This window comes from Homo sapiens, chromosome 17 (assembly GCF_000001405.40).
Source record: "Homo sapiens chromosome 17, GRCh38.p14 Primary Assembly".
Classification (NCBI taxonomy): domain Eukaryota; kingdom Metazoa; phylum Chordata; class Mammalia; order Primates; family Hominidae; genus Homo; species Homo sapiens.
In genome coordinates this window covers 43,663,380-43,674,541 of record NC_000017.11, presented here as the reverse complement: position 1 = coordinate 43,674,541, position 11,162 = coordinate 43,663,380, and the positions used below count along the sequence as shown (strand labels likewise).

The 11,162-nt window shown below is 50.7% G+C and overlaps 1 long non-coding RNA gene across 1 annotated transcript in view, besides 4 other annotated features; it reads right to left on the bottom strand.

The window, feature by feature from the left end:
• Nucleotides 1-9,678, bottom strand: part of LINC02594 (long intergenic non-protein coding RNA 2594) — a 41,895-nt gene extending 32,217 nt beyond the window's left edge. Inside the window, exons 1-2 of the long non-coding RNA NR_184089.1 lie at nucleotides 9,543-9,678; nucleotides 4,902-4,953 (exon numbers count right to left, since the gene is read on the bottom strand). This is a non-coding gene — a long non-coding RNA (long intergenic non-protein coding RNA 2594). The remainder of the gene's footprint in view (nucleotides 1-4,901; nucleotides 4,954-9,542) is intronic.
• Nucleotides 3,932-4,453: an enhancer, noted in NCBI's record as "H3K27ac-H3K4me1 hESC enhancer chr17:41747457-41747978 (GRCh37/hg19 assembly coordinates)". NCBI's record gives its function as "activates a minimal SCP1, AML or CMV promoter by ChIP-STARR-seq in primed H9 embryonic stem cells {active_cell/tissue: H9 hESC(primed)}" and the evidence as "EXISTENCE:reporter gene assay evidence [ECO:0000049][PMID:30033119]".
• Nucleotides 4,454-4,977: an enhancer, noted in NCBI's record as "H3K27ac-H3K4me1 hESC enhancer chr17:41746933-41747456 (GRCh37/hg19 assembly coordinates)". NCBI's record gives its function as "activates a minimal SCP1, AML or CMV promoter by ChIP-STARR-seq in primed H9 embryonic stem cells {active_cell/tissue: H9 hESC(primed)}" and the evidence as "EXISTENCE:reporter gene assay evidence [ECO:0000049][PMID:30033119]".
• Nucleotides 5,552-6,051: an enhancer, noted in NCBI's record as "H3K4me1 hESC enhancer chr17:41745859-41746358 (GRCh37/hg19 assembly coordinates)". NCBI's record gives its function as "activates a minimal SCP1, AML or CMV promoter by ChIP-STARR-seq in naive H9 embryonic stem cells {active_cell/tissue: H9 hESC(naive)}" and the evidence as "EXISTENCE:reporter gene assay evidence [ECO:0000049][PMID:30033119]".
• Nucleotides 8,371-8,896: an enhancer, noted in NCBI's record as "H3K4me1 hESC enhancer chr17:41743014-41743539 (GRCh37/hg19 assembly coordinates)". NCBI's record gives its function as "activates a minimal SCP1, AML or CMV promoter by ChIP-STARR-seq in naive and primed H9 embryonic stem cells {active_cell/tissue: H9 hESC(naive and primed)}" and the evidence as "EXISTENCE:reporter gene assay evidence [ECO:0000049][PMID:30033119]".

Sequence of the window (11,162 nt, the reverse complement as noted above, 5' to 3'; positions counted from 1 at the left end):
CAGACCCTGTCTCAAAAATAAATAAATAAATCTACAGAAGTGAATCTGCCTGGAAACGGAGAACCTAAAAGAATCATCAGGAGGTTTGGTTGGTGATGTAGCATTAAGGTGCCTGAGAGCCTCTTACACACACAGGCCAAGTGGGGATCTAAGCCAAAGCACCCCCTCCATGGTTTTAGGCCTATGCTGGTGAACAAGGCAGATGCAGCCCCGACAGCACCTGCCTTCCAGCTCTGCCACTGGACGGAGACATCACAGACTTGTAGCAGGGACAGCCATCCAGCCCACTGGGTGTTCACATATCTTCCACTTAAAACCTAGAAAATGGAAGCGCAGAGTAGACATAAGCCTGGTGCTGTTTTAAAAGGGAATGGTTTAGTAACCTGTAGGTAGCTCTCTTCCTATCCCCTGTGCCTGCATGCAGCTGTGGGACCACAGTGGCTTGACACCTCCATCAGTTCCCCCATTCTAGGGTCAGAAGTGGGTCCTATCAGAAGGTAGAGCTTTCTGGCCTGGGCACATTGCAGAAAGTGCTGCGGTTCTAATTCTCACCACCAGAAGGCGCTCCCAGACCCTCCGCTGGGTTCATACTACAATGTTTCCATCTAAATCCATGAATCAGTTTTTTCTCACTCCTCTGTATGTGAAAGCTACACCTAAAATGTTTCTACTTAAATCCATGAACTAGTTTCCCTTACACCTTCCTCTGTAGGTGAAAGTTCCTCCAGAGACTAGAGCAGGACTTTGAAGGCCCATGAACTGGGAAATTAACTGTTTAGGTGCCAAAAGTGGGAGTTGTGATGGGGGTTAAACTGACAGAGGAGGCGAATGCTATTGCTGTTTGAAAACGTAGGCCGGGCACTGTGGCTCACGCCTGTAATCCCAGCACTTCGGGAGGCCAAGGCGGGCGGATGACGATTTGAGGAGATGGAGACCATCCTGGCCAACATGGTGAAACCCTGGCTCTACTAAAAATACAAAAATTAGCTGGACGTGGTGGTGCATGCCTGTAATCCTAGCTACTCAGGAGGCTGAGACAGGAGAATCACTTGAACCGGGGAGTCAGAGGTTGCAGTGAGCCAGGATCGCGCCACTGCACTCCAGCCTGGTGACAGAGAGAGACTCCGTCTCAAAAAAAAAAGAAGAAAAAGAAAAGAAAATGTAACCACACATTCAGCTTTCAAAATACCCGAAGGCTCGGCCGGGTGCGGTGGCTCAAGCTTGTAATCCCAGCACTTTGGGAGGCCAAGGCGGAAGGATCATCTGAGGTCAGGAGTTCAAGGCCAGCCTGGCCAACATGGTGAAACCCTGTTTCCACTAAAAATACAAAAATTAGTAGGGTGTGGTGGCGGGCGCCTGTAGTCCCAACCACTTGGGAGGCTGAGGCAGGAGAATCACTTGAACCCGGGAGGTGGAGGTTGCAGTGAGCTGAGATCACGCCACTGCACTCTAGCCTAGGCAACAAGAGTGAAACTCCAGCTCAGAAGAAACCAAAAATAACCAAAGGCTGAGGACATCATTTCAATGTGTGTGTGTGTGTGTGTAACAAAGACCACAGTGTGTAGACATTGGGTTTCAGAGATCACCTCTGTGTCCAGCTGTCTGCGAGTCTGGACTGATGAGACTCTACCCTACCCCACTGGTGAATGTGGACCTGCATATGTGTATGGCAGCGGGAGTGGAAACATTGTCCTGATGTGTCTCCTAGCGTGTCTAGCTGTGTGTGTGTTGTTAGGAATGCTGGATGTGGATTGAGCTTTTGTGGCTGTGCTAGTGTGTGTGTGTGTGTGTGTGTGTGTGTGTGCGCGCGCACACGCGCCTGCCCCTGCTTTGGCATTTCTGCCCAGATCCAGGGGCTCTGCCATATGGGTGAGCAGGTACACACACGTGCTTAGTAGTATCTCTAAGGGTGTCAAGGACATACGTGTGTGCTGGTGCTCTGAGCCTGCCTGTATTCAATTTTGTGTGATGTGTGGCCCACATGCACCTGCTGTATATAGGGACTCTCAGGCTCCAGGGAGGAGACATACATGTGTATGTGTGTGTTTATGGGTGTGCACCCCTGGTGTCCTGCCTCTCCTGGGGCTCAGTCAAGGCCTTCTGCTCTCTGTTTCTGGGATGTTTTACTTCCCCATGACACAGAGCCCTTCTAGGCTGCTGCTCTCCTCTGTGAGCCTTGCACCTGCCTTTCTCCTTCGCCAAGCATGCCTTAGGGGAGATGGTTTATTTCTTCAATTAAAAGAAGAAAGACCCTGGGAGGCTGCACACTTAAAATTACCACATTTTAAAAAGCTCTGACAGTCATGAAACTATAAACCTCACAGCAGTGTCTCTGCTGCCCCCAGGCTACTCCCAGCCCTGAACTAAGGGGTTCACCTCCTCCAGGACTTGGATGGCCCCTCTCCTGAGGCTGGAAGATCACACCTTCTCTGATCAGAGAGACCCCAGTATTGTTTGCATGTGTAATCATGTGTTCATCTTTCCGTTCCTCCAGATCTTTTTCTTCCATAGTGTTATATTCAGGAAAGAGGTTAGGAAGCAGAAAACCCAGGTTCTAGCACCCTCTCCCTGGCTGGGTGACCTTGGACGAGGCTCCTAACCTCTCTGGGCCTCAGATTTTTCCATGGCAGAATGAAGCTGGTGCATATCATGATCTAAAGTTTCTTCCTGCTCTGACACTGACATCTGAGCCCCACAAAACCTTGACAGTGAGTATAGGAGTCTGCATTACCCCATTTTAATAAAGAAACAGAAGCTCATTAAGGTTAAGTGACCTCCCCCTTCCAGGGACACTGCATTTTCCACAACAGCACCCTGAAATTGACAAAGGCGGAGAGAGCAGCAAGAAACAGACAGGCACACGTTCACACTCCCTGCATGATCCTCTCTGAAAACACCCCGACAGCCAGGAGGGGATTGATGAGAATTTGCGTCACAGCCCTACACAGTAATTATTGGTGTTCATAATGATGCCCTAAGGCATTACATTCCCCTGAAATGCCTTCAGAATCATCAAAGAAAGATTAAGCCATGCCTACTATAATTGCTCTTTGAAATACCTTCTATTTTATTCTCCTGCTTGGAAAATTGATAACCTATGGATTTTCAATTAACTTTAAGTTACAAAGAATATTCAGTTTACCCAAGTATCTCATCCATTTATGGTTCCCTTTTAGGAGGAGTTGATTATCCATCTCAAGCTGTATTCCCCAAGGAGCCTGACGTTTTTACGAGATGACTGAGTTTGGGGGTGGAAAAACCCTTGATCTGTAATTGGAGGCCCTGGCTGCAGCCCTTTCTAGGACTGTGACTTTGGCAGGTCACCAGCCTCTCCAAACCTCAGTGTTCTCACCATTAAAAAAAATGGATTAATGCCAGTTCTGCTCCCTCGGTGTCATTGCCAGAATCAAGTAGATGATGGATGTGTTTGTAAATGTCATGTCTATGCAAATGAGAGATGCTCAGGAAGCACTTGAGAACTGCATGGTGAGACCTCTGGCATAGCCAAGCCAGCCAAACTGCTAGGCTGGGCAAAGAACACATAACAGGCATCCTGGCCTCATGGCATTCCCAATAACAACTGCTGCAGCCATGGCTAAGTCCCTAGGCCTCTCTGGGCCTCAGCTTCCTGATCTGTAAAATGGGGAGCAGAGAGAGTTGGACAAGATCAGAGATTGCAGATTGGTATTCCAAGAACCAGTCGTGCCATGTTCTGGGCTGCTTTTAATTGAATGGCAGTGTTTTGAATTCATTGCCAACATTTAAAAGTTGACAGGTTGCCTATAAAAAATCTGGAAATATGGCTTTTTTTTGACAAATGGAAAGATATGGTTGGTTACACTGGGCCCATGTTCATGCAAGGGAAAATTGGCCAGTGCCAAGTAGCTGTTGGCCCCCTCTTTCTCCCATCAAAGGCACCCAGGTGTCTCCCTCCCAGCTGGCTTGGGGAACCTGTGTTTACTTGCCTGGCTCCATGGGTTCTGACCCCTAAACTGACTGATCTCTAAAGCTTTAGACCTTGAACCATCATCACACCTCCCCCAGGTGTGCTGGCCTTCGTCGGGAGGGGAAGGGTGAGGTGGGCAGTGATCTGGGAACTTCCGCAGGGCCACCTTCTCCACCTGGCCTGGGATGGGGAGAGGCACATTCCTTCAGTAGCTCCCAGGCCAGTGGACAGAGGGCTCTGAAGAGACTCCCCCCACCCCAGCCCTCACAGCCAGAGCTAGTAACTCACAGCTGCGGTTACCCACACGCTGATTTCTGTTTTAAAAAATACTGCTGGGTAAACAGGGAGGGAAACCTGAGCTGTTCCCACACCACATAAATCCCCGGTTTGCTGTCCTATCTGGTTAGCTGGTTTCCCCAAATAATGGCACTGCTGCCTCGAAAGCAAGGGGCTGGAAAAGGGAGGCCCCGAGAAGTGGGCGGCTGGGAGTCTCCCAGGCTGGCTCCAGGCCCAGGCCTGGTGGCCTCCCTCCTTCTCTCTTTCAGCACTTCCTGCCCAGGGGCACTCACCTTTGTCCTCACTCCTTCCACCTGAGCCGCCCTTCCTCCACCCCTCTGCTTTGTCTCTCTCAAAAGACCTCCACAGAAGGCTTTCCTGGGGGACCCTGGGCCCTCCGGCAGCCAGAAAGCCCATAGCCAAAGGCAGACCTACCCCAACACCGCATTTCCCTCTGGAAGGCTCCCTTTAAAGTTTCCTTCCAGAGCCTTCTGTCAAAGTGCAACGTCCTGACTCAAAAGGTAAGGCCAGAGCCTTTTGCGTCCTGAAAATGAGTTTAGCCTTGGATTAGGATTGCCAGATTTAGGGGGAAAAGAAGACACTCAGTTAAATTTGAGTTTCAGATAAACAAACAACAATTTTTTAGTCTATGTCCCAATATTTTCTGGAACAGACTTACCTCAGCATTTTATCTGGCAGCCTACCTTAGCTCTTTTCCTTGAGAACAGGTTCTGATGGGGAAGAAGAAGAAGATAAAAGAGTTATTAGGGCCACCAAGGTGCCTATAGGCTGAATCTCCCAGCCTCCCCAGCAGTTCCTCACTGCCAAGTATATAGTTGCGGGCAATTGGTCTGTAGAGTAATTGTTGAACAGGACCCTCCTTAAAACAGGGCAGGGAGGGTTGGGCACAATGGCTCATGCCTGTAATCCCAGGACTTTGGGAGGCCAAGGCGGGTGGATGATTTGAGGTCAGGAGTTTGAGATCAGCCTGGCCAACATGACAAAACCCTGTCTCTACTAAAAATACAAAAATTAGCCAGGCGTGTAGTCCCAGCTACTTGGGAGGCTGAGGCAGGAGAATCAATTGAACCTGGGAGGTGGAGATTGCAGTGAGCTGAGATCACACCACTGCACTCCAGCCTGAGGGACTGAGTGAGAGTCTGTCTTAAAAAAAAAAAAAAAAAATGTAGAGAGGCTGGGCACTGTGTCTCACTCCTGTAAATCCCAGCACTTTGGGAAGCCAAGGTGGGAGAATCACTCAAGGAAGGAGTTTAAGACCAGCCTGGGCAACATAGCAAGACCCTATGTCTATTTTTTTTTTTTTTTTGAGACGGAGTCTCGCTCTGTCGCCCAGGCTGGAGTGTGGTGGCACGATCTCGGCTCGCTGCAAGCTCCGCCTCCCGGGTTCAAGTGATTCTCCTGCCTCAGCCTCCTGAGTGGTTGGGACTACAGCCATGCGCCACCACGCCCAGCTGATTTTTATATTTTTAGTAGAGATGGATTTTCACCACGCTGACCAGGCTGGTCTCGAACCCCTGACCTCGTGATCCGCCCACCTCGGACTCCCAAAGTGCTAGGATTACGGGCGTGAGCCACCGCGCCAGGCCCCCATGTCTATTTTTTTTTTTTTTTTTTTTTTGAGATGGAGTCTCGCTCTGTCGCCTAGGCTTGGAGTGCAGTGGCGCAATCTCGCCTTGCTGCAAGCTACGCCTCCCGGGCTCACGCTATTCTCCTGCCTCAGCCTCCAGAGTAGCTGAGACTACAGGCGCCTGCCACCACCATGCCTGGAGAATTTTTTGTATTTTTAGTGGAGACGGGGTTTCACCGTGTTAGCCAGGATGGTCTCGATCTCCTGACCTCGTGATCCACCCGCCTCGGCCTCCCAAAGTGCTGGGGTTACAGGCACGAGCCACCGCACCCGGCCCCCCATATCTATTTTTTAAACGGGTTGTGGGGAGGGGGGCAGTGGGCAGAGAGATGGGGAGAGTCCATTTGTCCTTCCTCCTTCGTGCTGTGTGGAATGCTGACATGCCAGCTGAACAAGGTGCCGCAGGGGGGCAAAGTAGAGAGACAGTGCCTGGGGGAGAGGCCATCTCAGCTTGGACTGTCACCTCCGGCCTTTTTTATGGGGGAGAATAATAAACTCTGTGTGTTTCCCCTTTTGTCATTTGTTTTCATTCTATACAGCTGACTCCAATACAGAACCCCTGGAAGGTGTTCATTTGCTGGGTGCTTACTGAGTGTCTGTACAGTGAGCCACCACTTTACAGTTGAGGAAACTGACTCATATGACTTCCAAGAGCCAGGTTTCTATGCAGGCCATTCTGTGTGTTACATTTTTCAGTCATCTGCCTACAATTTTGGTAGCAGACAAGTAGAGCACCAAAGGTTTAAATGTATATATATGTGTGTATATATATATATGTGTGTGTGTATATATATATGTATACACACACACACACACACACACAGAGAAAACCCATCTGCAGAACTTACCTCCCTTAGCTTAGTGTTTTCTGAGATTTAGAGAAAGACCTCGTTATTGGGCCCCTGGGGTGGAATGCAAGGACTATGTTCTATAGTTTACTCAACTCTGACCCTTGGATCATATTATTTGAGCATTACAAAGCCCTGTCAGGGCCAGGCGCGGTGGCTCATGCCTGTAATTCCAGCACTTTTGGAGGCTGAGGCGGGCAGATCACCTGAGGTCAGGAGTTCAAGACCACCCTAGCCAATATAGTGAAACCTCGTCTCTATTAAAAGTACAAAAAATTGGCTGGGTGTGGTGGCGCGTGCCTATAGTCCCAGCTACTTGGGAGGCTGAGGCAAGAGAATCACTTAAACTTGGGAGGCAGAGGTTGCAGTGAGCCGAGATTGCACCACTGCACTCCAGCCTGGTGACAGAGCGAGACTCCATCTCAAAAATAAATAAATAAATAAAAATAAAAATAAAAAATATTAGCCGGGCATGGTAGCATGCACCTGTAATCCCAGCTACTCAGGTGGCTGAGGCAGGAGAATCGCTTGAACCCAGTAGGTGGAGGTTGCAGTGAGCCAAGATCACACCATTGCACTCCAGCCTGGGCAACAAGAGTGAAACTCATCTCAAAAAAAAAGAAAACAAAACAAAACAAAAAACCCTGTGAGGCAGGCTGGCAGGCAGTAGTAACTCTGCTGCCTCAAAGTGTTCTGAGAAGCAAAGGACACATGTGTACATTCCAAATACATCCCAGGCCCAGTAGTAAACACGCTAGCCCACAGCCACGTATACCATATCCAAAATCTGCCTGTCTTCTGTCCATCCCTTAAGGTCTTACTAGAGACCAAGCATCTCATCTGATTCACACATTCTACTATGTAAGCGCAGGCTAATGGCTTCATCTTGTGCCCTGTTCAGTGGCATATAAATATTTCACAGGGCTCTCTGGAGTTGTCTGTAAGGCAAAAATCTCAGGTATCATCATCTTCATCATCCAGATGTTACCCCTGCATGCCAGGCTATGACAAGAGCTTTCATAGACCACCTCACTCACGTCTCTCAGCATCCTCATGCGGACGGAAGAAGTTTATCCCCATTTTACAGATGAGGAAACTGAGGCTCAAGTGATAAGGCAAGTCGCTCAAAGCCATTTAGCTTATTAATAACAGAGCTGAGGTCAGGCACAGTGGCTCATGCCCGTAATCCCAGCACTTTGGGAGGCCAGGGCGGGCAGATCACCTGAGGTGGGGAGTTGGAAACCAGTCTGGCCAACATGGCAAGACCCCATCTCTACTAAAAATACAAAAATTAGCTAGGTATGGTGCCAGACACCTGTAATCCCAGCTACTCGGGAGGCTGAGGCAGGAGAATCGCTTGAACCTGGGAGGCAGAGGTTGCGGTGAGCCGAGATCCCACCACTGCACTCCAGCCTGGGCAACAGAGCAAGACTCCGTCTCAAAACAAAAAACAAAAAAACAGAGCTGAGGTTTGAACCCACAGGCCCCCAATTCCCAAGGCCATGATTTGGACCCTTGTGTTATGTTGCCATAGAAGGTATCTGGGGGCTGGGATGAGCCGTCTTCACCTACATTGTGCTGTGTCCTGCCCAGTGGTTCAGCATAGTTAAGGACAAGCTATTCCTCACATGCATCACCCTTTATAGTCAGCCAGCTCTGTTCTCAGATGCAGTTCATTTATCCTCCTAACCGCCAGGTGAGGCCGGAACTGTCAACTCCATTTTGCCAGTGAGAAAAATGAAGCTCAGAGAAGGGTGTGATTTGCCTGAGACCACACAGCCGGTAACAGGCAAGGTCACACCTTGAACCCGTGTCTTCTGCCTCCAGGTCCAGGGCCTTGCCCTGACACCCTGCCTCTCCAAGCACAAGGGGGTGGGGTGGCCACAAACAGAAGCAGCCCTGTCCTGCCAAGTACACGCCTGCCTGCCACGCACAATGGGAGACATTCCGCAAGTTCCACGTGATGGCTCAGGTGTGGCCAGGCTGAAAGCCCTCCTGGGCCCCCCCACGCCCCTGGGGGACCTCCTCGTGACTCACACTTTTCCTCTTCCTCCCCTTATTCTCCCCAACAATCAGAAACCGGGGTCCCCTCCCTTCCTGAAAACAGAGCTCTCCTCATGAGGCCACAGGGCTTTTTCGACACACAGCTCCTTCCATCCATCTCTGTCTCTGGCCCTGTGGGGCCTTGACAGGGAAACGCTGACTTTGAGGAGGTTAAAGGTGCTGGTGCCCGGCCTTCATCTAACAAATGGGTTGCCGTGAGGGGAGGAACTGTTGTTGTTTTTTCCTGGCCTCAGAAGAGGGGCCTGTCAGGAAGATGTAGGGGCCAGCAGCCCCCGGCCGCGCCCCGCAAGGTGGCTGACAGACGCCAGCAGCTGCCGGGGGCTCCGGGGTGCCAGAGGCCTGTGTTCTCAGGGCAAAGCACCCCACCGCGCCCCCTCCCCATGGCCCTCCTGACCTCCCCACCCACCCCACCATGACCCAGGGCCCACCCCGTCCAGGGGCAAAGGGCCAGGCGCTGGGCCTCCCTGCCATGAGGTCCCTGGGCCAGATGCAGAGGTGGAGCAGGAATCCGGTTACAGCCTGCGGCCAGCCCAGGGGAAGGTTTTCCTAGGGAAGCTGACAAGCCAGATCTTCCTCCCAGCCTCCCACGGATTCCTTCCAGAACCCCCACAGCACAGCGTGCCCCCCACAAAGGACCTCACAAGGCTGTTTCTGTAGAATTTCCTCAGAACTCCCCATTCCCAGGTTCACCCTTTGGGATCATCGAGGTTAACCAGAAATAGATGTGCTAGGAAGGGAGCCACATTTGTCCATTACTTACTCTGCCTTTTGCATAAAGGATTTCTTTCTTTATTTCTTTTTCTTTTTCTTTTTTTTTTTTTTTGAGACAGTGTCTCACTCTGTCGCCCAGGCCGGAGTGCAGTTGTACAATCTTGGCTTACCGCAACCTCTCTGCTTCCCAGGCTCAAGCGATTCTCCTGCCCTCAGCCTCCCGAGTAGCTGGGATTACAGGCATGTGCCACCACACCCAGCTAATTTTTGTATTTCTTTTTTTTTTTTTTTTTGAGATGGAGTCTCGCTCTGTCACCCAGGCTGGAGTGCAGTGACGTGATCTCGGTGCACTGCAAGCTCTGCTTCCCGGGTTCACACCATTCTCCTGCTTCAGCCTCCCAAGTAGCTGGGACTACAGGCGCCCGCCACCACGCCCGCCTTTTTTTTTTTTTTTTTGTATTTCTAGTAGAGACGGGGTTTCACTGTGTTAGCCAGGATGGTCTCGATCTCCTGACCGCATGATCCACCCGCCTCGGCCTCCCAAAGTGGTGGGATTACAGGCGTGAGCCACCGCGCCCGGCCTAATTTTTGTATTTCTATTAGAGACGGGGTTTTACCATGTTGGCCGGGCTGGTCTTGAACTCCTGGCCTCAAATGATCTGCCTGCCTCAGCCTTCCAAAGTGCTGGGATTATAGGTCTGAGCCACCGTGCCTGGCCTACATAAAGGATTTCATTGAAGATTTGCAAATGTCTGTGGGCTGGGCTGCCTCAATTTGAATCCTGGGTCCGCCGCTTCCCTGCTGTGTGGCCTTGTGCAGGTTACACAGTCTATCTGTGCATCAGAGTCTTCTGCTGAAAAACGGAGCTGATAAAAAAAAAAGAGAGAGAGAGAAACGGAGCTGATGAGAATGACTGTTGCCTCAGAAGGCTTTTGTGGGAATCCGTGGGGGTAAAAATGTGTAAGGTGCAAAGTGCCTTACACAGATCCCACTCTGACTGTCATCTCAGATGAGGAAACAGAAGTTCAGAGAGATGGCCAGGCATGGTGGCTCATGCCTGTAATCCCAGCACTTTGGGAGGCCGAGGCGGGCGGATCACGAGGTCAGGAGATTGAGACCATCCTGGCTAACACGGTGAAACCCCGTCTCTACTAAAAAATACAAAAAATTAGCCGGGCGTGGTGGCGGGTGCTTGTAGTCCCAGCTACTCGGGAGGCTGAGGCAAGAGAATGGCGTGAGCCCGGGAGGCGGAGCTTGCAGTGAGCTGAGATCATGCCACTGCACTCCAGCCTGGGCGACAGAACGAGACTCCATCTCAAAAAGAAAAAAAAAAAAAAGAAGTTCAGAGAGATAAGGTGACTTGTTCCAGGGCACACAGCCAGGAAGTGGCAGACCTGGGGCTTGAACTCAGACCCGTCTAACCTCAAACCCCATGCCTCCTCCTCTGCATCTGGCCTGCTCCAAACTGAACAGCAGGACACCTGAGGCCAAGTGCTGATTCCACCATTTCTTAGCTGTGTGAGTCTGGGCAGCCCAGTCATCCATCTGAGCCTCGGTTTTGTCATCTGCAAAATGGAGACATAATTCTTACTTACCCATCCTAGGAAAGTTGTGAGGCTCAGAGAATTGTGTGTGCCACAGCTAAGCCCTGGGCAAAGCAGAAAGATGA